The 26512-nt window shown below is 35.9% G+C and overlaps 1 long non-coding RNA gene across 1 annotated transcript in view, besides 2 other annotated features; it reads left to right on the forward strand.

Moving 5' to 3' along the window:
* The window catches only part of LOC105375158 (uncharacterized), a 130320-nt gene that overhangs the window by 74041 nt on the left and 29767 nt on the right, over positions 1 to 26512 (forward strand). The window lies entirely within an intron of this gene.
* Positions 10899 to 12098: an enhancer, noted in NCBI's record as "CDK7 strongly-dependent group 2 enhancer chr7:13056242-13057441 (GRCh37/hg19 assembly coordinates)". NCBI's record gives its function as "activates an origin of replication core promoter dependent on BRD2, BRD4, P300/CBP, MED14 and CDK7 cofactors, with strong dependence on CDK7, by STARR-seq in HCT116 cells {active_cell/tissue: HCT116}" and the evidence as "EXISTENCE:reporter gene assay evidence [ECO:0000049][PMID:35650434]".
* Positions 11408 to 12023: an enhancer, noted in NCBI's record as "OCT4-NANOG-H3K27ac hESC enhancer chr7:13056751-13057366 (GRCh37/hg19 assembly coordinates)". NCBI's record gives its function as "activates a minimal SCP1, AML or CMV promoter by ChIP-STARR-seq in naive and primed H9 embryonic stem cells {active_cell/tissue: H9 hESC(naive and primed)}" and the evidence as "EXISTENCE:reporter gene assay evidence [ECO:0000049][PMID:30033119]".

The raw sequence follows: 26512 nt of genomic DNA on the forward strand, positions 1-26512 counted from the left end.
AGCCATCCTTGCATCCCAGGGGTAAATCCCATTTGACCATGGTATATGATCTTTATAGTGTGCTGTTGAATTTTCTTTGCTTGCATTTTACCGAAGATTTTTGCATCTGTGTTCATCATGAACTGTAGTTTCCTTTTCTTGTAGTGTCTTCATCTGGTTTTGGTATCAGTATAATGCTGGCCTTGTAAAATGGGCTTGGAATTGTTTCCTCCTCTTCAGTTTTTAGAAAGAGTTTAAGAAACATTGGTGTTAATTCTTCTTTAAGTGTTTGGTAGAATTCACCAGTGCAGCCATCTAGTACTGGGCTTTTGTGTTTGGAGGTTTTGATTACTAATTCAATCTCATTATTTGTTATTGGTTTATTCAGATTTTCTATTTCTTCATGATTCAGTCTTGATAGGTTGCTTATTTCTAGGAATTCATCCATACCACAATATCTGATTTAGAGACATATCATTGTTCATCACAATATCTGATTTAGAGACATATCATTGTTCATATTAGATTTTATCATCCTGCTTATTTTTGTAGCATAAGTTATGATGTCCGCTCTTTCATTTCTGGTTTTATTTATTTGAGTTTTCTCGTGGTTTTTTTTTTTTTTTGTTTTTGTTAGTCTAGCTAAGTGTTTGTCAATTTTACCTTAAAAAATCAACTGTGTTTTAATTTTTTTTTCTATTTTTTAATTCTCTGTTTGTGAATTATTGGTATCTGATTTTGGAGCACTGGATGTATATGATGTCAACACTAACCAAAATGCAGTAAGACAAGAAATTAAAAAAATAAGTTTTTGTGATAGGGGATAAGATGATGAGTATGATTATTGCATATAATGAGTGTGGGATTCCCAGAGAACATCAAGGACAAGATCTTTTATTAAGTATAGTTGGAAGTTCAAGAGACATGTCTGGTGCACAAATATTGGTGTTTTTATCTTGAAGTTTTTCAATCTGCGGAGGTAATTATTGAGGACATTTTAATCAATTTTATTCACAGGATTCTTTGAAACAATTTCATCCTATCCTTAGGAATGTTCAGCCTATCTGTACAATGGGAGAAACATGTTAATGCACTTAGCATGATGATTTTTATCAGGAGGTTCTTAGTATGATTTTACAAAGCACATATTAAACCTCACAATCTTATAGACCTATTCCAAATGTCTTGGGTGTTGTGGGTCTTAAAGATCCACTTTGAGACTACACCTTGTTTATGTAAAGGAAAAAATGTTCCTTATATCATTTTATAGCTTTCCTTCACTTTTCTTTCTTTCTTTTACTCTTTAAGTATTAAAAATTCCCTGGGAACACATTTTTTTAAATTTAATTTAAAGGATCCAGTTGAGTTTGTCGCTAAAGAGCAAATGGAGAATAAAAGAATTTTATCTTTTCTGCTCCTATTTTCTTATAGGCTTCTGTGCAAGCCTGACATCTGTAACACTAGGCAAGTGTTTCAACAGAGTAAAAGTCTTGATCAACATAAGCCCCTGCCCTCTCCACAAACATATTTTCTTACATATGGGCTTATAACTTTAATCAGTGTTTTTTTTTTTTCTTCTCTGAACATCACTTGGCTGCCCAGGAATTTGATTAGCAAAATTCTAATAGCAAAACAATTAAACAATGGCAATTTCATTCAAATCTTAATCTCTGCTTGCCATGATGGGATATGGATTATATTTCTCTATTTAAGTGATTTTAAAACCACAGCCACTTTTTTGACCAATTATTCAGAAATATCGAGACCCAAATTCCTTCTGTGGTCTCTGCTACCTCTGCCTTCCACTTCATCAGACCATTGGCAGTAGGGTTTATAATCCCATTTGGCATGAGTGTACCACATTGGTGCCAAGAGCAGCCCATTCCTCAAGTCCTTTCACTGTTTTCCAACTTTGCCTAGATTCTTTTTACCTTGCCTTCATAGTAGCATAGGTAGTTTTTTCTTTTGCTGATAACTAACTGCCTGTGCCCCTCATTTGCATCCTGGTAAGATTGGGTTTGCCCATTTTGTGATGTTGATTCAGTAACCTGCCCCTTACAGACTATGAAACAGGACTTAATCTTGTTTTTTGGAAAAAAATAACGCTCTCCTAGGATTTCCCCTGTAGTGTTGGGTATTATCTGTACTAGTTGTTAATACTGTATGATATTTTGTAGTATCACAAATTGTGATCTGCAAACCGGTAGCATTGGCATCACTCAGGAGATTTTTAGAAACACAGAATCTCAGACCCCACTGAAAAACCAGTGAATCAGAATCTATATTTTAATAAGATGATTAGATTATTCATATGCACATAAAATTTGAGAAGCACTGCCATGGTATGTGAGCACAGCTTTGCTAGTAGCTTTTATTACTTTTCTGCTTTTTTATCCTCTCTTGATGCTCTAAGAAAGTTATTCCTTCTCTTACCCATCTTTCAGTAAATTGAATATGTCGGGCAAGGTCTGTGGTTTCGCAGTCAGAGCTTGAATGATTCTATTCAAACTAAGAGGCTTGATCTGTATTTCCAAACACTTTGCTGTCTTCTTCGCTGGTCTATTATATGGTCTTTAGCCTTGAATTATGAGCAAACATCTCTTTTCCATCAATCTGCAATGTGGTCAGGAGGCTTAACAATACAGCCCTCTGCTTCTGAACTTTCCCAAATCCTTTCTGTAGCACTTGATCATCATCATCAAACATTATTTACCTTAAGATTATGAAAGGTCTAAATATTAGTTATGGAAGGATTCCTCAATATTGGCTGTTTGCTGCTTGTTGAATTTATCACTCATAAATTTGAGTGTAATATGTACATATTATGTAATTTTTAATATGTAAGTAGTCTTGGCCTAACTGTCTCCTGGAGCCTCAGGTGAAATACTCCTCCTCCAGCAATCACTGTGGATAACCGACTCCTTACTAGCCGAAGTGGTTTCACCCATCTGAGATCAATGGCATCTTGAGTCTGTGATATCTCTCATTACTTCTGGATTCTAATAAAATATCACACAGCAAGCCATGGATTTGCCTTTCAAGTAGCTGCCAAAAAGCCCAGATGATTCAACCTAAAACTGTGATGAAGTTAAATCCAGCTGAAGAAAACTTTGACCAATGAAAGACAGAAGAATAAAGTAGATAGATAAATCACCTTTCACTTTCTCCAGTGGATGGAACTTTCCTAGGCACAATTCCACCATTCCTCCTTTCTATAGATTGCTCATGTGGCTAGGCAGGTATATCCGATGAGGTCTTATGAAGCAGAAGCCAGTGCATTCACATGTTATATTTTTTCACTTCCTGTCCTTCTCTGCTTTGCTTTTTTGGGATTTCATCTTTAAATAAATGACTGTCCGTTAATCGTTGCCTCAGGCTCTGTTTTCTAGGAAACCAGGATAGTTCTAGGAAGCAAACCCTTAGGAAGAGAATTGGAGATGGACTGCTCATTTCTATAAAATAAATAAGAACCCTTGTATGGAGATAGTGGTGTGATACTAACTTCGGGTATCAAAATTACCTCAAGCTATCACTATAGTTAATAAGGAATAAGTGAAGTTGGAGGGAAGAAATGTAGAAATCAAGTACCTGCAGCATTTGATCATTATAGGAACAATGATAATTTCAAGGATAATAAAGTGAAGTAACTCCTTTTAATGGCACAGGAAATTTTAAAAGGAAAATGATAGGTTTAGGCAGCTAATTACAAACTTAAAATTCATGTTCTACAGCCAGAGGACCTGTATGGCAGCTGTAAAGGAGATTTTTATTTCCTGCAGCCACAGGGCATTCTTGCTGAACACCAGGCTTAGGATTTGGTTATATACTTAAAAGGAGAATAAATCCTCAGCCTAAACAGATCTTCCACCAAAGACAGAATCCTAATGGAGAAGAGGTGGAATTCTGAGACTTGGGATAGTGACATTTCAGTGGATGAGCTAAAAAATCTTGGACCCTTCCCAAATTTCCTAGAATCTCCTGGCTGGAAACAACAACAACAACAACAACAACAACAACAACAACAACAACACAAAACAAAACAACCCAGAAAACAAAACCTCCCCATTGCCAGAGGAGAATTCTGGAATGACTTTTCTGAAGCAGATGACTTTAAAGACAATGTCTGTTTTCCACAAGACTTATTGTCACCACCATTCATTGCTCCTAGATATGTAACAGAAATCAAGTCTTGGCCGGGCGTGGTGGCTCACGCCTGTAATCCCAGCACTTTGGGAGGCCAAGGCGGGCAGATCACGAGGTCAGGAGATCGAGACCATCCTGGCTAACATGGTGAAACCCTGTGTCTACTAAAAATACAAAAATTAGCCAGGTGTGGTGGCGGGCACCTGTAGTCCCAGCTACTTGGGAGACTCAGGCAGGAGAATGGCGTGAACCTGGGAGGCAGAGCTTGCAGTGAGCCAAGATTGCGCCACTGCACTCCAGCCTGGGCAACAGAGCAAGACTCCGTCTCAAAAAAAAAAAAAAAAAAAAAAAGAAAAGAAATCAAGTCTTAAAACAGCTTGAGCAGAGAGGTATAAGAACGACCTTTGCCAGTAAGAAATAGCTTTTACTCCAAAAAACTCGAAGCACAGAAAGGATCCAGAAGAACATGTGAAAATGAATTTGAATGGAGTTATCTTGGGGAAAGGCTGAATATAAAGCTCAATGGGGAAGAATTTATTGTCATAAGGATGTAGGAGTTTCAATATTTTGGCGAGACCACATGGAGGTAGAAAATCTGAGCTAACATAATGTGCTAACAGTGTTTGAAGATTGTGTGATAATGGCACATCCTGAGAACTATTTCAGCTTTTGATAGTAGTTGATGTAGTTTGGATGAGTGTCCCTGAGCAAATCTCATGTTGAAATGTAATCCTCAGTGTTGGAGGTGGGGCCTGGTGAGAGGGGATTGGATCATGGGGGTGGATTTCTCATGAATGGTTTACCACCATCCCTTGTGGTACTGTCCTCATAACTGTGAGTGAGATCTGGTCATTTTAAAGTGTGTAGCAGACATGCACAGTGGCTCACACCTGTAATCCCAGCACTTTGGGGGGCAGAGGCGGGCAGGTCACTTGAGACCAGCAGTTCGAGACCAGTCAGGGCAATATAGTGAAACCCAGGCTCTACAAAAAATATGAAAATTAGCCAGCGTGGTGGTGCCCACTTGTAGTCCCAGCTACTTGGGAGGCCGAGGTGGGAGAATTGCTTAAACCTGGGAGGCAGAGTTTGCAGTGAGTGGGGGTCATGCCACTGCACTCCAACCTGGGCGACAGAGTGAGACTGTCTCAAAAAAAAAAAAAAAAAAAAAAAAAAAAGGCCAGGCACAGTGGCTCACGCCTGTAATCCCTGCATTTTGGGAGGCTGAGGTGGGCGGATCACGAGGTCAGGAGATTGAGACCATCCTGGCTCACACGGTGAAACCCTGTCTCTACTAAAAATACAAAAAAATTAGCTGGGCGTGGTGGTGGGTGCCTGTAGTCCCAGCTACTTGGGAGGCTGAGGCAGGAGAATGGCATGAACCCAGGAGGCGGAGCTTGCAGTGAGCCGAGATCGCGCCACTGCACTCCAGCCCGGGTGACAGAGCAAGACTCTGTCTCAAAAAAAAAAAAAAAGAAAGTTTACCACCTTCCCACTCGCTCTCTCTTGCTCCTCTTTCATCATGTGATGTGCCTGCTCCCGCTTTGCCTTCTGCCATGACTGGAAGCTTCCTGAGGCCTCCCCAGAAGCAGATGTCACTATGCTTCCTGTACAGCCTGCAGACCCATGAGCCAATTAAACTTCTTTTCTTTATGAATTACCCAGACTCAGGTACTTCTTTATAGCAATGTGAGACTGGCCTAATATAGTAATGTCATCAGTAAGAGGATGAATAATTTCTAGTTTTGAGAGTTAATCTATGTAAGTTGCTCTAGACAAAAATCTAGTCTAAAAGAGCTATCTAATACATTGATCTTGATATGCCACTTAAGAAATACGATTTTAAAATATTTCTTTTTGCAGAATACTTTTCACATTCTCAATAACTTTCAATGAAACTTCATTTGAATGGCTGTGAAAACATCACAGAGAATCACATAAGTAGTGCTTTAGTGATTAAGGTGTCTACAATCACTTCCTGATCACAATACCAATAAGTTGCTTTCTCAGCACCAGTAAGATTGGGCAAGTCAAGTTCCATTTTCATGCTGCATCCTTACAGGGTAATCTCAAATAACACACAAGAAAATGAGCAGATAGTACTGGCTGTAATCTAATATTACTAAAATTGTCTTTGGAAAAAATGGGTTGTGCCATAGAACAAAAGTTGTAATATCCCATGTGTACTTGCCTAATTTTCCTTCAATATTCCTTTTTAGTTGGGGTACCCAATAGGGTGATAAATTATAACACTAAAGAACTCATCTATCAAAATTAGCATGAAGTCCAGTGTTAACCTCTGCTCACACCACCCCTGTCTTCCAGCCAACAAACCTCTCAAGGTAGTGGTTAATTGATTTTGTATTTGCTTTTGCTTAGTAGCTTGAGATGAACTGAGACATTTTCTTCAAATTCTGGATGATTCCATGACTGCTACTGTCATTGGGTTCAGAAGTCATTTTTACTATTATCATTCCCCAAATCTGGAAAGTCCAACCATTAACGTTATTTAACATGTATGATTCTGTTATTCTAGTCTATCTAGAGAAATTCAAAACTTCTTCTCTTGAAAGGGGAATTGGGATTTTTTTATCTCATTTATTATATCAAGTTCTTAGATTTCTTAAGCAAATTTAGTTTTTCTCCTCCAGCTTTCGTTAAACTCCGTATATCAATAGATACCCTTGTATAAAATAACAAAATATCTACCTGATTAGCTCTACAATCTTTACTGTATTTACTTGCCTACTATGTGACAGTTAATGTGCTAGGACTTTTTTTACATATAGCCTCATACCTGTTCTTCACCATATCCATTGCTTTTCTCAGTTTTACAGAAAGGAAACTGAGGTTCAGGGTGGTTAAAATGAACTTGTCAATATCACAAAGCTAGCAAGCGGCAAGGCTGAATCTGAAATATAGGCCTTCCTGGCTTAACAGTCTGATCAATTTCTATCACACCACCCTCCACTTGTTGAAAAGATCAGCTTCATGATTCCAATTGGGGTTGTGTGATGGAGGGAGTGCCATCCTGCACATGGATCACTTAATCGATTCACCTGATAAAATGTACGCTAACATGCTAAACTTGGTGGTGCCCAGCTAGTTAGAAATTTCATTCTATCTAGAACAGCAATGGATAGAAGGGTACAATTAAGAGAAATACTCCAGTCCAAATAAGAGAAATACTCTTTGTTTTTAGTTATGCTTTAGCATGTAGGGAAAATATTCCTTATCTAGACTTGTTTTATGAAATCAAGACCACATTTGAGACTTTCTTGGTAGTCAAAGTGTTAGCAACCATCAATCAGAAATGAAAAAAATGAATTCTACACCCAAGTTTGGGAGAACAAATTCAGTGTTTAGTATTTCTGGTCCCAAGAGAGTTTGGCTGAGAAAAAGTTAGATCTATTGAACAATCTCAATTTATGTGTCCTAGGTTTTAATTCAAATGAGAATATGTCAGATCAGGACAGGAGAAGAATGACTCAGAATTATGTAGGAGATCGGTAAAATGGCCTTTGATTTTTCTGACGCCTCTTGTGGGAACAGCTCTGATTTTAATATGCCGGGTGGAATGATATTAAACATTACCAGACCAACTTTATACTAGCTACACTGTACCATGCCTGGGGAGAGAACAGAGAACTCATTAAATAAATGAAGATGCAAGTTCACATCCAGACATTATCTATCATTACTTTTAGACCTAACAGATTCATTATCTTCAGTACTGCTTGGAGTATTATTTTTCTAGATAGTTTGCTACACTATCAGGAAAATCTGGTAGAGGAAAACTGATACAACTTAATGAAATAGCCAGCAAAGGGGATATCTGTAGTTTGCCAAGTGTCTATAAATTTATGTTGTCTTTTCTTTTTTCTCCAAATGAAACATTGCCTGTCAATCAATTAAAGGTATTTACTGAGCTCTTATTCTATGGCCACATTACTGTAGGTGAAAAATGCAGATTCAAAGAAAATGGTAGGACCGGTACCTGAATTCAGAATTTATTTTAATTTTTAAGTTTTATAAAAGAAATATATCGTAAAGCTCAAGTATGTTCTAAGGCCAAGATTTTCAAATACTTATTAAAATTATTGAGGAATCCAAATAACTTTTTCTTATGTACTTAATATCTGTCAGTGTTTACCATGTTAGAAATTAAAATTGAGACGTTCAAAAATATTTATTCATCGGTTTCAAACAGCAAAAACAAATCTATTATATATTAACATAAATAGTAGGTTTTGTGAAAAATGTTTCTACAACAAAAAAAATGAGAAAATTGGCCTTGTTCTACATTTTTGCAAAGCTCATTAATGTCTGGTTTAGAAAAGACAGCTGGAGTCTTATATCTGCTTCAGCACTTAATCTCTTGCAATATCATGTCATGTAGCCTCTGGAATATTTTACTGTACTCTCATGAGAAAATCAGTATAAAATGGAAAATAATATCTTAGTATTAGTATGAAATAGTTTTGACCTAATAGATCCCAAAAAGGGTTTCAGGGACCTCCTGCATAGATCACATTTTAAAAAACCCTGTTTTAGGATAATATGATGAGTAGAAGTGATAACTCAGTATTACCCTTTCAATATAAAATTGAAAAATGCAGGCATTCGGATGAGATAGTATTTATTGAGATCTGCTTTTTAAAAGCTGATGTTAAAATATTGATCCAGAGTTAGCAAAATGAATACAAGTTGAAGGAGATTTAAGTAAATTTCACATTGCTGTATACAAGAAGATTCATGTAAACACATGTATGCTTTTTTGTCTATTTTGTTAAATTTTAAACTCTATCAGCAAAAGACAATTATTTGCATTCTAATTTTTATGTTTTCCTGCACAATACTGTTTCAACTTTAGAAGGTAGCTACTAGCCATTCTTATTATATGGTTTATTTATTTACTCTACTTTTGTGTAGACATCTGTTTTTAAAGTTAGCTATCTGAAAAAGTCATCTTTTCAGTTAGGTAACACTAGCAATCAGAACCACCCACAATTTGGAGTGAAACACCACTTTAGAGGAGAATGAATCCAGTGGACAGAATGGCTTATATTACTGCAAGAATAGCTGACTAAATGTCAACTGAATAGTCCAAGTTATCCAAAAGAAGAAAATATTAACAAAAAAATATTTTTGGCTCACCATATAAAAGGCCCATTATGCTTTACTACTACTACCAATAAGTAAAGATTAAATTTGTTTATGCTATACCAGAGATCTGACACTATAAAGTAATTTTAATCATGATTAATTTTATGGCTTTTTGAAGAATCAAAAATCCTTATACAGGGGCATAATAGGTCACTTCATATTTTTCCACCTGAAATCTAGGAATAAACTGACAGATTCCATATCTTCTACTCCCCAGTTTTCCTCATTTGTTGCTTACAATATTCAGAATTTAAAATGATAAATGAAAAAATATGCTTTGATGGAATTGAGAGAAACAAGGACTGTTGTTATTTAAGGAATGCAAAGGCTCAAAAGTGAATATTCTTCTTTTTCTCTATATTTTACTTCTTCCTTTACCAACCTGATAAAACCCTCACATTTTGGGAAGAATGTATTTAGTTCTAAAAACAGGCTTTGCAACGGCTAAAGGACTGCTTATTTTGTGGATGGTCCTTCTGTACAAAGAACTGTGTGTTACTACTAGTAACACAATAGTCCAGCAGGTAATAGAAAACTCATCAATAGAAGGAAAGAAAATGGCAGTAGAACTGGAAGATAATCTGCATTTTATGTCAAGTGCAAAGGCAGCCCTGTTCAGCTATGGTGTTTAGACCCCTGAATTGCATCTGGTGGTACGTCTATGGCTTCATATACACATAGGTTGGACCTCCTTTTTTATCTTGTATTTGAAATATTTATATTAACAAAGAAAAGAAATGTGAAAAATAACTAGCTTAAAGCTGTCTAGAAAGATGTCTCCTTTCTTCCTTTCCTTTAAATTGCATTTCCTGGAACACCTGAGAAATCCAGTAACTATGTATCCACACCATAGAGCCAGGAATGAGCGTTACAGAGAATGATGATGTCTTGAGTTTATTATAGCCCAACTCCAAGAAATCTAAACTTCATCCATTCTTTAGATTATAGATGACATTTCAAACTCACAGCCATAGAACAGAGAGTGTGTTCACAACTGCACGGAATTGCTTGTTATGATGATGGAATTCTTTACATCTTAAAAGACGATAAAAGTTGCCTAATTCGTGTATGATACAATAAACTTATTTGCTGACATAGCAAGTCTTACATAATAACCATGCTAATGATAGGGGAGTGCTGGGAAGGAAAGAGCATGGTCCCTTTAAATTATATGGAAGGGGGAAGGGAAGTGCTGGGTAAGAGAAAGGCGGGTCCCTGGCTAGGGCTCCACCCCCACGGGCCTAGGTGAAGACAGCCACTCCTGCTTTCCTGCCCAAATGTTGCATTTTCTAGGACTACCCTGGCCCACCATGCCCCCATCTTGATAAAAACCCGAGACCCTAGTGGGCAGACACACAGAAGCAGCTAGATGTGGAGAGGAACACATCCGGGGAAGAAGACACAAGTGGCTGGTCATTGAGAGCACGCCAGCAGACGAGCACGCTGATGGGCACCTGCAGGCCATCGACCAGCGGAAGGACATGGAGTTTGGCTGGAGCAGTCAGAGAAAAGTCCAGCCACTTGGTCCAGGGGAAAACCATCTCCCATCTGGCTCCCACATGTGCTGAGAGGTACTTCTACTCAATAAAACCTTGCACTCATTCTCCAAGCCCACATGTGATCTGATTCTTCCAGTACACCAAAGCAAGAAATCCTAGGATACAGAAATCCCCCTGTCCTTGTGATACGGAAGGGGGTCTAACTGAGCTGGTTGACACAAGCCGCCTATAGATGGCCAACTAAGAGAGTACCCTGTAACACACACCCACCGATGCTTCAGCTGTAAACACTCACCCCAAGACACTGACGTGGGGTCGGAGCCTCACAGCCTGCCGTCTGTATGCTCCCCTAGAGGTTTGAGAAGTGGGCAATGAAGAAGCAAGCCAGTCACCCTGTTGCACGCCCTCCAAGGGGGACAAGGGAACCTTTCCTGTTTCACTAACATTCTTCACAAACAGATTTTGAAAAACATCCATTCAGCTAAAATGCATATATCCTTATGCTAAGAAGGTGGCAAGATATTTTGAAATAAAAATTTAAAAAACAATGATTATATTTTAATCATTGTGTTACTTTAAAGCACCGATTAACAAAGCTTTGCCAGGTTGAATCACTCATCTTTGACTGAATTTCCATTTTCAAGCTGTTTCTCACTGAACTTTGTAACTTCACATGACTCACAGACTTCAAAAGCCGCCTTCATAATTGCTTTTCTCTCCAATACATTATATATGTACATTACATATAAAATGTCAAGAAACAGATATTAAAGGACAAGATTTGAAGATCTGAAGTGAAGAAAATGAATCAGTTAGTGATATTGCACAGATTATCTAGTTTGATTTACATAGATTTTTTTCAATGTGATTTTTGTGATTGCTTTCAATGAGATCCATACCTGCCAGTCCTGGGTGACCTTTCTCTCTTTTTCTTTGTGTGGGAGCCTCAGCTTCTCTAGCACACAAAGGTTGTGTGAGGCCCACAGAGTGTGGAATGCTTTGGATAATGGGAGAGCAGTCTAATCAATTCGCTACTGATAGGATGAAAGGGAGACTAGAGAGGCTGCTTTTGAAGTTGTCTCCTTTGTGGATCTGAGTCATCCACAGCTGTAGGATTCCAGTCTGTTTGTTTTAAGTCTTAAAGGAGGAGCAGGAACACCAAGTTTTACATACCATGTTTATGTTCTTCTGCCAGTTTGAGTCCTATAGAGCAAAGACAAATCTCGGCGTGGCATTTTTAGCTCTAAGCCAAATGTTCAGACGCCCACATGCCTTAACTTAGTAGGCAGGAGAAGGAACACACCTTATATGTGAAATTGCACAAGATAACATTTATCATCCAAAATAAAACTGGTGTTGCCTTCCTGTTCCAGCTTACCCACCATTGGGAAAATAATGAATTTTCTGGAGATAAATAAGCTCCTTTGCTTGCTTGCTTTCTATTTCCCTCTGTCTCTTTCTTCCTCTTCTTTTTTTTTCTTCCTACCCAAGGTGAAAAAATGTGGCTCTAAATTTTCACAAGTAATGTTTAGGGCAATGACTACCTTTGTTTTCTGTTTTCCTCTTTGTGTAAATTGGCCAGACTATAAAACCACAAAGGTCTTAAGGAAATAGAATCTGAACTCTTGAGTTTAGGATTTAGCCCTGCCTCCTTACTGTGTGAGAAGCTTACCCTGCAGCAGTTTCCACAGGGTTTCATTTCTTCTACCTTCCTAAAGTGAATTGTCTTCCTTTAAGGAGAGATATTTACAAATATATTTTGCCCCCTTTTTAGGGATTTAAAAATTATTTCTTGATTTGAGTTTCTGTGTAATAAAAAGATACCTTCTAATATTAAAAAAAATTATTTACAAATAGCCAAATAGTATGTTTAAATTTATTTTTAAAAAATATTTATGTAGAATATTTTAAAGAAATATTTTAAAGAAGTATTCAATATTAAATATTCACGCAGAATATTAATATTTTTGGCAAATTAATTTAAAGATTACTTGCTTTGTTATGTTTGAATTAAGGATTGACTGTATGTTAAAATTTACACTGAGTTGAAATATGTGTTAGGGTATGAAAAAATGATTCAGTGAGCTAGTATTTGTAATTCTTGCATTTTGCACTTAAATTCATTTTTAAAATAATTTCTTGATTTTTATTTGTAAATGAAAAGATAAAAAATGCTAAGGCTACTTTCCAGTTCTTGCAAATCCAAATAACACATTCTGGGCAAGGATAGAATAGTTTTTCAATAAATGAAAGACTAAAATGAATACAGTACTTTTGTACTCTCCTATGTTTTTGAAATACAAGAAATAACTAAGAAATAAGCTAAATAAGAAAATTGGTGAGATGAATGCAAATTATGAATCTGATAAATCAGGAGACACACTTGCAAAATTATTATTTGTATCTGCCCCATTAATTTGCACTTCAATATCAATGTTTCTTACGTCCGCAAGCAATGGTCTACCTTGGGTGGAAAGTTCACAATATATGACTTGGATTAAAACAATTCAAAACTGTTTTGTTCAAAATCACCATGGAAGGCCATCTATTTCAGCTCAGCCACTGAGGGCCTGAGTCAGGAACAAACACATGTGGCCTCTTCTAAGATCTTACACATATTCACTCCAGAGCCACTCAGGTGCTCAGTGCAGCTATTTCAAATGGGAACGGACATAAATGAATAATTGTAGTTGATTTAAAATACATATATATCAACAGATCTAATTTCTTCTGGTACAGTTTTAGTCTTGAAGTTCTGGATTATCTTTCTAAACTTCCTGTGAAGTCTTACTCAGGCAGTGCTAAGGTAGGAATTATGATACTTATGATACATTTGTCACCTAAAGTTTTGTCTTGCTTTTTAAAAGCTGTGGTTTGGATGAAAACAACAGGATTTTCTTGCTCCCTAGATGTAGGTATGTATCATAGATATTTTGTTTTTTGGATTAAGTAGCTGCTTTCACTGTGAAAATTTAAAAAAAAATCTCTCAAACCACAAACAACCCCCACCACAAAAAAAACACAATTTTCTTATTTTCTAGACACAGAGATAGTTTTAATTTTGATGTATATCTACTTATTCATTAATTATTAAATAATATTTTACAAAAAATTGGGTTATTAATATCAATATGGTTGGCAAGGTGGTTGATTTCACGTGTTTCCATACCACATGATTAAAGTGATTATTAGTCTACACGATGTTTCCGTTTGCATTTTTTCAGTTGTACTATTTTCATGATATAGCTATACCATATTTTTATAAGCCTTTTAAGTTGGATATTTAGGTTGATTTTTCTTGTTTTTCTTTTTTTATAAATAAACCTGTAATAAATATCCTTATGGATATAGATCTACATATTCTTCTCATTATTTGTGTTTTTTTTTTTGAAAATGGGATTATTTGATCAAAAGTAATTCACATTTAAAATTTTTTTCACATGAAATGTGGTTGAGGGATTTGGGTTCAGAAATGACATGATTGAACTTAGCATTCTGACTAATCTTAGGACTAATCTTAAATCTAATCCCAAAACTAGCATTATTTGGGATAAGAGCAGAAGCAGAGAGTCCAGTTAGGAGACCATTGCAATACCATGGAAAGAAATGATGCAAGTAGGACACAAGTAATAGCGCTGAAAATAATGAAATTTGGTCAAATCCTGAAGCTAAAGCTGATAGGATTTACTGAAAGATTGTAAGAGGGAGTGAGAGGAAGAAATAGTGAAAGATGACTCCAAGGGATTTTTTTGTATTTGAGTAGAATGTGCAGTTACCATTAACTAGATGAGAAAGACAATGAGGAGCATGTTTGAGGAAAGATGTCAGAACTTTGGTGTTGGACATGATAAATAGAGAAAAGTCGGGCATAGAGAAATACTTTTGCGAGCCATTAACATTCCATTAGCTATTGCTGTGTAAGAAACAACCATAGAATCTCAGTGGAATGTGACGATACGATTTTATTTCTCGCGTGTCTGCTAGTTGACTTATGATTGGCTCTTCTAGACTGGCCTTAGCTAGGCAGCTGTGCTTAAGCTAAGGGTTGCACTGGACGTCGCTACTCTCTACGATCTGGGTTTTAGTCCTCTCCACCTGTATCCCTGCTGGGACTCAGCTTTCTTCTTACGGTCATAGACATAAGAGGGTGGGTACCATTGCCCAAACACATTTCATATCTAATATTGTCTCATTGCCTAAACCAAGTCACAAGGCCAATCCCGAAGTCAGGAAATAGGGAGTTCCGTTCCCCTTCTTCTGGGAGAAAATTCAAAGTTACCTAGTAAAGCCTGTGGATACAGACAGAAGTGAAGCAATGAGAACACTAATTAATTCTGCCATGGGTATGTGTATCATACTTAAAACCATGAGCCTAGATGAAATCCAGAATGATTCACCTATTGCTTTCCCATCAGCTATATATGAGAGTTTCTGTTTCTTTTGCTCTGTGTTATTATTTTAAAACCGATTTGACAATGTGAGGGACAAAAAATAACACTTAACTACAATAATTGTATTTCTAAACCAAGGTAAAGGCATAGAAATCCTTGGAGTCACTGTGTGATTTGATTTTCCAGCAGGATTTTCTTTCAATGGTTTATTATGCCTTGGTCTAGTGACCAAAAAAAGAAACGTTTCCCAATAGATTTTATTCCCTTTTATATTTTTAACCATCTTTTTTATATTTAATAATTACCAGATATAAGAATAATTTCAAATAAGTGTGGGAAATAAGTGAGAGAAAGAAAATAATCAAAGATGACTCCAAAGCATTTTTTTGTGTTTGAATATGCAATGGCCATTAACTAGATGAGAAAGACAGGGAGGAGCAGGTTTGAAGAAAGATGTCAGAACTTCAGTGTTGGACATGATAAGTTTGAAATTTTAGAAATGTGGAATAGGCAGCTGGAGTTAGAGAAAAATCAGACACAGAGAAATACTTTTGTGAGCCCTTAACATTTTCCATCAACTATGTCTGTTTAAGAAACAACCATAGAATCTTATAACTCTAATCCAACTGATAGAGTTTACTCTCCTTTAGTCACTGCTTATTTATCAGAAGAGATTGTGTTTTGGTGAGGACCAAAGAAAACAATGGTGTATATTACAACTCTAAGAAAACCAACTGAATCTCAGCTCACACATGCAGTGTTGACAATATGATAAACCGTAAAGCCGCCCCAGAAAAACTTACCATGCTCCTTTGCAGATGGCGGGGCCTTCTCATTTTGAAGGCATTGTTGTGAGAATGTGACCTATGTGCCTCTCTGTGGTTAAAGGCTCACACATGCCTGTCCATTCACAGCAAAGAGCATTATGCACTGTTTACAATGCACACAATCTGTTCAAGGATTTTGAAATTCATTATGTGTGGGCTGCATATATTTTCATTGAGTTGAAAACACCCTTAAGGTTTCTGAGGTATTGTAAAAATACATACTTTTAGTGACTGAAATGTTTATCTTAAGAAAGGAATTACAATATTAGGATCACAAAGCATTTACATGCAAATCGTACATGGGTTTAGCATTGATCTTAGAAACAAGCACATGGACGAGGAGCTATGGGTAAAGCTTCAAATAGGAAAGAATATTTTATTTTCAGCAGTTGCACTGGATGACTATGCTTTCCTCTTGCATGTGATAAAGAGAACAGTACTGTATAGTTTTAGTGTAAAAATAGAAAATCCATTAAGGAATAAAGGCACTGTTCATTCCATTGCTCAAGAAAATATTTTCCTATTCATTCACAGTAGCTTTGTTCTATCGGAACAAGACTTTTTACATTATTTTGAATTTGATCCTAATAAATATGTGTACTGAGCTCTAAGAAACTAAACCACAATGATTGTATGTTTGAATTTAGTAAGTAATAGATTTATGATTTTCTTTCTTCATGTGCCCTGCTTTGACATCAAGCAGACTTGATCAATACACACATGCAGTATATGATTAGTTCGTTGTCTTTTTAGATTCAGAGGCAAAGCTTTCCTTTTTCCTAGTAAATGCCAAATATGCTTAGTGCTAAAAGTGTGTTTGTAAAGATAATTATATGGATGCTGGGCCATTATTTGGCTTGGAGAGTTCAGGAGGGGGAAGTCAAACACAGCTGGATTCAAAGGGGTCTTGATACCTCTTGGGAGACAGTTCCTCCAACTGAGTCAGAGTGAAAAGACTTCATATGCATGCAAAGCAAAAAGTTAAGTGTTATAATTAATTTAAGCTTTGTTAACATAAAATAAAATAATTAAATCCAAATAAAAGCTATTTGAAGGGCATGAACTTTCTAACATGATTGTGTTTTGATGTTGTCTCATTAACTACATATGTCAATTCCACAGTTTTTATTATATAGTTATCTAAAATGTTTATACAATCTGAAATGTGAAAGACATGTAAGGCAAATGATAGTCAACTGCAGTCTGGTGGTAGGTTAAGTAGATGGTGAGGATGAATTTTATAAATGCATTTTTCTAGTGCCTGCTTCTTGTTGTTAGGGCTAATATTTGAGGCAGCCATATAACAGTAATAAATGCATTGTTTTAAATTATATCCTAATTCCCAAGGATACTCAAAGATCAGTATTTCCATAAGCATTTTAAATATTTCCAAATGGCTTTTTCTAAAGTTCTGTGACAATTTGATCCAAAGTCTTCAAATACACAATTTGTATTAGAGATATGCAGGGTAAATAGGTAAGAAATCTTCATGTAATGACCTAAGTATAGTATAGACACAAGTTGTTGTTTTTTTTTTTCTTCTTCTTCTTCTTTTTTTTGAGACAGAGTCTTGCTCTGTTGCCCAGGCTGGAGTGCAGTGGCGTGATCTCGGCTCACTGCAAGCTCCGCCTCCTGGGTACACGCCATTCTCTTGCCTCAGCCTCCTGAGTAGCTGGGACTACAGGTGCCCGCCACCAAGCCCGGCTAATTTTTTGTATTTTTAGTAGAGACGGGGTTTCACCATGTTAGCCAGGATGGTCTCGATCTCCTGACCTCGTGATCCGCCTGCCTCAGCCTCCCAAAGTGCTGGGATTACGGGTGTGAGACACTGTGCCCGGCCTAGACACAAGTTTTTAAAATGACCTAAAGTGTGTATGTGTATGCATATAAGGTAAGGGGAGGAAGAAAGAGTGGGAGCTGGAGAAAGAGAGAGAGAATGACTATTGATACATATATGCCAGCTGTTATATTAAACAGCAGAAATATGCCAGCCAAAGAAATTAAACAAATAAACAGACCCTACCCTTGACAGCACACACACACACACACACACACACGCACACATCCATAAATCTCTTTTTACCAAGATACTGTAAAATTAACAGATGTTTAGTTTTGATTTGTGTGAAGATTTTATTAAATTGATTTGTGTCTATTTGTAGCTAAAACATTCCTTTTTACATTAACCATAATGTAAAAATGTATGATTGCATGAATTTGGCTTGATGTATCTTAAAATTTTAAAGCTGTCCCATTAGCAATATTTATATTGTCTATCTGAAAGGAGAGAATGGCATTTTGATATGGTCACTTGAGGCAGCTAATTCATTTTTACCAAGCTTCATTGACTCAGATTCTCACTTGGCTTGAATAAATTTTAGGATTAAGCTTTACTGTTAAAACTGCATCATGCCAGTGAATGGTATCTCAAAAAGGATTTCATTATCTAGTGTTAAATGAACTTTTTTTTCTCTATTTGTTTCTGTGAGGGGATGGGGTAAAAAGTTCTCACAGCTGCCAGACAAAGAATGACTCTATTTAAAGAGTGGTTGGAAGCACAAATGTTGATTATCTGAATGAAAGAATTTAATTAAGTTTCCTAAAGAACAGGATACTACTGACATCAATGATTGGCAAAATGAAGCAGGGAAATACAGTATTTAACATTACAATATTTTTCACTTAATGATGCCAGTATTAGATCTTGGCTGGTATCCTGGAATATGCACAATGGCTTGGCAACAAATTAATTATTTTGCAATTGCAGATGTGGAGCTTTGGGGTGTGAAAGTTTCTTTGCCAAGATGGTTTTGGGAAGAGAACCAAAGCAATCATTTTATTTCCTCATCTATGTGCATATCCTTGTTTATGAATATTGTTGAAATTCTTAACGTCAGATGGTCACAGGACCACAAGCTATATTTGATGAACCTCTGAAAGTGATTCTTTAACACAACAGACTGAAGCCAAAAAAGTGTAACTAGCCTGCATCCTAGTCCATAAAAATAACTTAAAATTTGTACAAAGTATCTTCCCATTGTTCATATCTCTATAAAGTGGATCGTTTCTATTAGTTCTTGATAATTATTATTTTAATGATATTTAAGGTCATATTAACTTTCACTGCACCTGAAAATTGTTATGATGGCTGGTGTTAATGAGAGTTGTAGATCATACCATTCTTATATACCCGTAAAACCCCCCACAACCCTAGAAGAAAACCTAGGCATTACCAGTCAGTACATAGGCATGGGCAAGGACTTCATGTCTAAAACACCAAAAGCAATGGCAACAAAAGCCAAAATTGACAAATGGGATCTAGTTAAACTAAAGAGCTTCTGCACACCAAAAGAAACTACCATCAGAGTGAACAGGCAACCTATAAAATGGGAGAAAATTTTCACAACCTACTCGTCTGACAAAGGGCTAATATCCAGAATCTACAATGAACTCAAAACAAATTTACAAGAAAAAAAACAAGCAACCCCATCAAAAAGTGGGCAAAGGACATGAACAGACACTGCTCAAAAGAAGACATTTATGCAGCCAAAAAACACATGAAAAAATGCTCATCATCACTGGCCATCGGAGAAATGCAAATCGAAACCACAATGAGATACCATCTCACACCAGTTAGAATGGCAATCATTAAAAAGTCAGGAAACAACAGGTGCTGGAGAGGATGTGGAGAAATAGGAACACTTTTACACTGTTGGTGGGACCGTAAACTAGTTCATCCATTGTGGAAGTCAGTGTGGCGATTCCTCCGGGATCTAGAACTAGAAATACCATTTGACCCAGCCATCCCATTACTGGGTATATACCCAAAGGACTATAAATCATGCTGCTATAAAGACACATGCACACGTATGTTTATTGCGGCACTATTCACAATAGCAAAGACTTGGAACCAACCCAAATGTCCAACAACAATAGACTGGATTAAGAAAATGTGGCACATATACACCATGGAATACTATGCAGCCATAAAAAATGATGAGTTCATGTCCTTTGTAGGGACATGGATGAAATTGGAAATCATCATTCTCAGTAAACTATCGCAAGGACAAAAAACCAAACACCGCATATTCTCACTCATAGGTGGGAATTGGACAATGAGAACACGTGGACACAGGAAGGGGAACATCACACTCTGGGGCCTGTTGTGGGGTTGGGGGAGGGGGGAGGGATAGCATTGGGAGATATACCTAATGCTAGATGACGAGTTAGTGGGTGCAGCGCACCAGCATGGCACATGTATGCATATGTAACTAACCTGCACATTGTGCACATGTACCCTAAAACTTAAAGTATAATAATAATAAAATTAAAAAAAAGAAAAAAAAACCCACAAATGGGTAAGGAACCTCAACATTATAGTCATCAATACAGGAAATATTGATACCAGTATTGGGTCTTGGGTATAAAATGATACCTAACATAGTATTATTATAATAATATATACCCTGATAATCAGTCTAGCACTTATATATGGCTCTGTTAGAGAAAAATATGAAGTTGACCATAGTATTGAGGGTCAAATTTCTTTTTTTATGATAGACCCTGAATACATCAATTGTAGTTAAGAACTGTACATTCATCTTTTTCTGTGTGATTTCTGTGTAAATGGAATTAAGTCACTGAGCAACAGATTCAAGGTAATATTAATTCTAAAACTAGCTTTGCCGCTTGCTTGTGGTGTGAAGTCCAAAAATATCTTCTTTGAGTCTAAATGTCTTAATTTGATAAAAACAGATAATATTAAGATCTACCTTAAAGGATTTTTTAAAGATTAAAATATGATATATGTGTAAAGCATTGAACACATTCCCAGAACAAAGTTTGTATTTTTATAGATGTTAGCTATATAATTTGACACATTTCTATATTCACAAATGTATGCATATACATTACATATAATTACATATGCATACTTATATGCATATGTTGTCTAAATATATACAAATATGAATGTATATCCAAATTATTTTAGATTTTCTTCTTCTTTTTTTTTTTTTTGAGGCAGAGTCTCACTCTGTCACCCAGGCTGGAGTACAGTGTTGCGATCTCAACTCACTGCAACCTCTGCCTCCTGGCTTCAAGTGATTCTCCTTCCTCAGCCTCCCAAGTAGCTGGGATTACAGGCGTCCGCCACCTTGCCTGGCTTATTTTTGTGTTTATAGTAGAGATGGGGTTTCACCACGTTGGCCAGGCTGGTGTTGAACTCCTGAACTCAGGTGATCCGCCCACCTTGGCCTCCCAAAGTGTCGGGATTACAGGCGTGAGCCACCACTACCGGCCTAGATTTTCGTCTTACTGCATAAAGTATAAATCAAATATGCTTATTTAAACATGTACCTAGCATACAGATCTTTCTTCACCTGCACCCAACCGCCCATTCCTACATCTCTTCCATATCCAACACATGTAGTCATTTACCTAATATTATGCATACAATGAGAGCTTTGTTTGAAAATATGCTGAAAGTGTGTAATGTTGACTTCTGCTTCTCTGTCGTTAAGTGAAACCAAAGATAGTAGAAAAGCATCTATTTCACAGTTGGTATATGTAAGGTCCAGGGTGCTACTTTTGTTTACATTTGGCTAAACAATATGGCTTCCCCTTAAAAATTAGCTTATAACATAAACTTTTTACAATATCAACAGAAAAGAAAATAAGAAATTTAGGATAATTCTAAAGAATAAGCATCGATAACAGGATAAACATTGAACATCCATAGAAATGTAGAAACTACATATCCCCAATACTGTAATGTTGACAGAAACAGATGCGTAATTTCTTGCCAACTTCCCCAAAACTGTAACAAAGAATCTTTGTTTTATCTTACTTTCATCAGAGAGATCCAAGTATAACATACTGGCCTGTAATAATGCATGCATATTATTTGAAGATAACTTGGTATTCATTTGCTACTTTATAAAATGTAACCATAAACTTAATTGCAGTGTTCCCCAAATCTAGTGCTATGGAGTATATGGTCAACATTTATTTTAAATATTACCTAATACCACAATTACTGAAACATATTTCTTTGTACTACTCCTAATAATTTTATCTTTTTTTTCTGGTAAAACTATTGTCAAGGATTTATCTTTCTGTAAATATCCAGAATTATATATCCTCACACTTATACCAGAAACACAAAATCCCTGTCCTCTATTTTCTTAATGGACTCTTCTCAGTAGACTCTTTATTAACATATTAACCTAGACATTAATAAATATTCACAAGGGGATCTAATAAATTGGAATGTGAAAGAACTAAAGTTTCCACTCAAAAGCATTTTGAGTAGAGTTCATACACAAAGTATTATTCTAAGTTAGATTTTATAAAATAAAATAGGATATTTTAAGTTTAGCTAACATATTAATTAAAAGATTTAACAAGAAAATCTACCTCATGTTAGTATTAACAATCCTGTGGTTTACTTTCAAAATTGACCATTGTTCTGAGTTTAACCTCAGGGATATTGTGATAACAATGTAAAAATAAAAATGATGTAAAAAATTCCACCCCTTGAAGCTGAGCCAATGTAATTTATGATTAGGATGTTTTCTGTTCTTTCGTTGCTTATGCTTCCTAGAAATTGTTTGAGGTGTTTCTAAAACTTCTTCATGTTTAGACTCTATTTTTAAGGAATAAACTCAGCTTCTCTTTCTTATTTTATATCCTGAATCAAAAACATAACTAAACTAATGCCAAAATTAATTATAAAAAGATAAGTGTTTTCGCTTATTAATGATAAACAATGAGAGGAATCCATTGTGACCCTGAGATATGTTGTGTTACTAAACAGTTAGCTTCTGACATCATTGCCTGTTCGTTCTGTGATGTGATGGGACATCTGTGGTTCCACAGTATTTTATGTGAAGCATGGCACCCCGAAGGCTCTGTGAAACAGTGATAACCTGGGAATATTCTAAATCTGAATCTCTTGAGGCCAGTCTCAGCATTTCTTTGAACATTTCTTTCCTTGGTTTTTAAAATCTAGATCCACAGAATGACCTTTAATTTTTGATCCCTAGGAGTAGAATTTTATTAGAAGTTATCATGGCTTAAGGAACAGGAGATGGAGCAAAGGAGCTATTTACTATGGTTGTCAGGACGTCTTGGGGAGATGCTATTACATCTGGTTGTGTTTAATGTTTTTGTTATTGATACAAAAGGGCTGTTGAAAAGCGCATTAAATTAATCTCATGGGAGATACTGCAGACTACAAAGGCATATGAAAAACAGTACAAACAGGATAACAGGAAGGAAAGTATATTTTCTTTGGACTATAAGCCCTAGCACAGTTTTTTTATTTTTTTACTTTTAGTTGACATAATCACTACATATTTATGGGACACAAAGTGATATTTCAATACATGTATCCAATGTGTAATGATCAAATCAGGGTAATTAGCATATTAATCACCTCAAGCACTTATTAGTTCTTTGTGTTGGGAACAGTCAAAATCCTCTCTTCTACTTTTTTGAAAATATAAATGATTGTTAGCTATATTTACCCAGCACTGCTATAGAACACTAGAACTTGTTCCTTCTTTCTAGCTACAATTTCATATCTGTTAACCAACCTCTCCCTATCCTCCTCTCCCCTCCACCCTTTCCAGTTTCTAGTAACCACAATTCTACTGTTTCTATGAACTGAACATTTTCAGCTCCCACATATGAATGAGAAGATGCAGCATTTATCTTTCTGTGCCTGACTTATTTAACTTAAAAAAGTTTTCCTGCAGGCTGATGTATGTTGCTACAAATGACAGAATTTCATTCTTTTTTATGCCCGAATAGTATTCCGTTGTGTGTGTGTGTGTGTGTGTGTGTGTGTGTGTGTGTGTGTACCATATTTTCTTGTTCCATTCATCTATTGATGGACATTTAGGCTAATTCCATATTTTGGCTGTTGGGAATAGTGCTACAATAAGCATGAGGGTGCACTTATTGCTTTGATATACTAATTTCCTTTTGTTTGCATAAATACACTGTAGTGGGATTGTTGGATCATGTGGTAGTTCTACTTTTAGTTTTTAGATGAATTTTATTCTGTTTTGCATAATGGATATATTAATTTACATTCCTACCAACATTGGTCTATGCAAAGATTTTGTGGGTAAGACTTCCAAAGTACGGGCAAAACAAAAATAGATAAATGGGACTATATTAAACTAAAAAGGTTCTGCACAGCAAACAGTGAACAGAATGAAGAGACAACCTATGAATGGGAGAAAATATTTGTACACTACACATTTGAAAAGGGACTAATATCCAGAATATACAAGGAGCTCAAACAATTCAACGGCAAAGAAAGCTAATAATCTGATTAAAAAATGGGCAATGGATCTGAGTAGGCATTTTTTATAACAGACAAATGGGCAACAAGTATATGAAAAATGTTAAACATTCCTAATCATCAGAGTAATGCAAATTGAAACCATAATGAGATATGTCCCTCTAGTTAGAATGGCTATTATCAAAAAGACAAAAAATAAATGCTGACCAGGACGAGCAGCGTAGTATTTTACTGGAAAAAGAAACAAAGACACTCCCTTTCCACCCACCATTAGCCACCCAGCATTAAAAATTATTAATTCAAATGAAGAAATATCATGGTGGCAACTTACACAAATCTAATTTACTTCTCTAGAAAGAAAAAGTGATTTTAGGCTTAGATAAAAAGTGATGTTAGGCTTATATTAAGACTAGAAAGGTGAGGCAAGTAATTTGTCCAAGTACAGTAGCTGGTATCAGCATCTAAACTTGAACTCAGAACTGTCAGACATCAAATTCATATATGTTCCACTTACCTGGACTACTTTGCTTCCCAAAATGTAGAACTTAGAGCAAGGAAATCTAGTTAGGTTTTACTCGCAAAAGACACCAAGTATTTTAGAAGTATAACCCACTTCTCTGTGCTTCAAAACCTTAATCAGAGCTCATCAGGTTTATTATGTATTCCAAATAATTGTAAAAGCTAGAAAAATGTGATATATGAACTTGCCAAACTAATAAAACTTTAACTGGCGTAAGACAGACAAGTGAAATATATAGCAAATATTTAAAACAATATTAACATAAGAGTTTTTTTAAAACAAATGATTTACATAATCATCGGTTTATATTCAAAATCTTAAAAGAATGGAAGTGTCTATTTGTTAAGGTCAAAGTCAGTAAGGAGATTATAGGAAGAAAATAAGGAATATAGGAATAAATCTGTCTTCTCTGTATTCATACTAACATTCTATTATAAATTATCCACAAAATTTAAAAGGAAATATAGTATTATAATTAAGAGAATGGATTCTGGAGCCTCACTGCCTGTATTTAAATAGCTTACCAACTTTTGCCAAGTTATTTTTATTTCTCTGTTAATTTGTAAAACCTTGTTTTTTCCTCCATCTGTAACACAGGCACAATAATTACAAATAATATGTTGTGGTACAAATGGTACAAATGCACATAAATCACCTTAATCCCATATCTAGCAAAAATCAGCTGGGCTATAACACCGAATAAATGTTAATTATTATTATTAGCTATAAATTTATATTTCAAAATTAGTGGGATCATTACTATATTCCAAATTAGATTTGGTAAATGGCAAATACGTTTTTCTTGACTAAACTTTACCAAGTGCATTAGTGCTAACCTAGAGTGTCATCTGTATGTTTAAGCGGAATTGGGCTTAGTGCTAAGATAAAAGTGTACCCCACAAATCCCCCCACAAATCCTTGATGTTATGTTCAAAGTAAGATAGTAAAATAGAGTGAGCTAACTTCAAAGTAATCCCTAATTGAAAGATAGATATTTATTCACCAAAAGACGTTGTCTTCTTCTTATTTTTGAGATATTCATCTGGAATTCGCCAGTGGCATTTACAAACATATCCACAATGAGTCAGTGCTTGATAACCTTCACCAGTTGCCCAAGAATTCAATTTGAGAAAACAGGCATTTGGAGCCAAACCTGATGAATAAGGTGATTGATCAAGACTGGGTTAATTGAAATGATGAGACTAATTTTTGTGTGTGACTCATAAAAAGTTCGGAGAACAATTCCAGTATTTGGGGTGATGGCAGCAATTCATATGTTCCAAGTTCTTTGCCACAGGTTTATGTGCTGACTTTCAAAAATGCCCAGGGTGATTTCAGGTTAAAACACACTTTTTTTTTTTTTTTTGCATTGATATCCTTGAGTTATGGGTAGAAAATCAGTGTCTACTAACTTAAAGCCACGTGTTTATCAACTTTGATCATCAGTTTAAAAAAGATATCAGTAAAGGACAAGAGCTTAATGATGCTCTTCCTGCAAACACAGATGTCTGCTGATGAAGATTCTCAGAGGCCTTTATTTATCCGCATGTTTGGAGCTGTCTCTACAAAGGGACAATATTGAGAGGGAATGGTAAAAAGGAAAGGCAAGCATCATTCCAGAGAGGCTGCGAAGAATTTTACATGATGAAAAGTAGTTTCAAAGATCAATGGATAGA

This window comes from Homo sapiens, chromosome 7 (assembly GCF_000001405.40).
Source record: "Homo sapiens chromosome 7, GRCh38.p14 Primary Assembly".
Classification (NCBI taxonomy): Eukaryota; Metazoa; Chordata; class Mammalia; order Primates; family Hominidae; genus Homo; species Homo sapiens.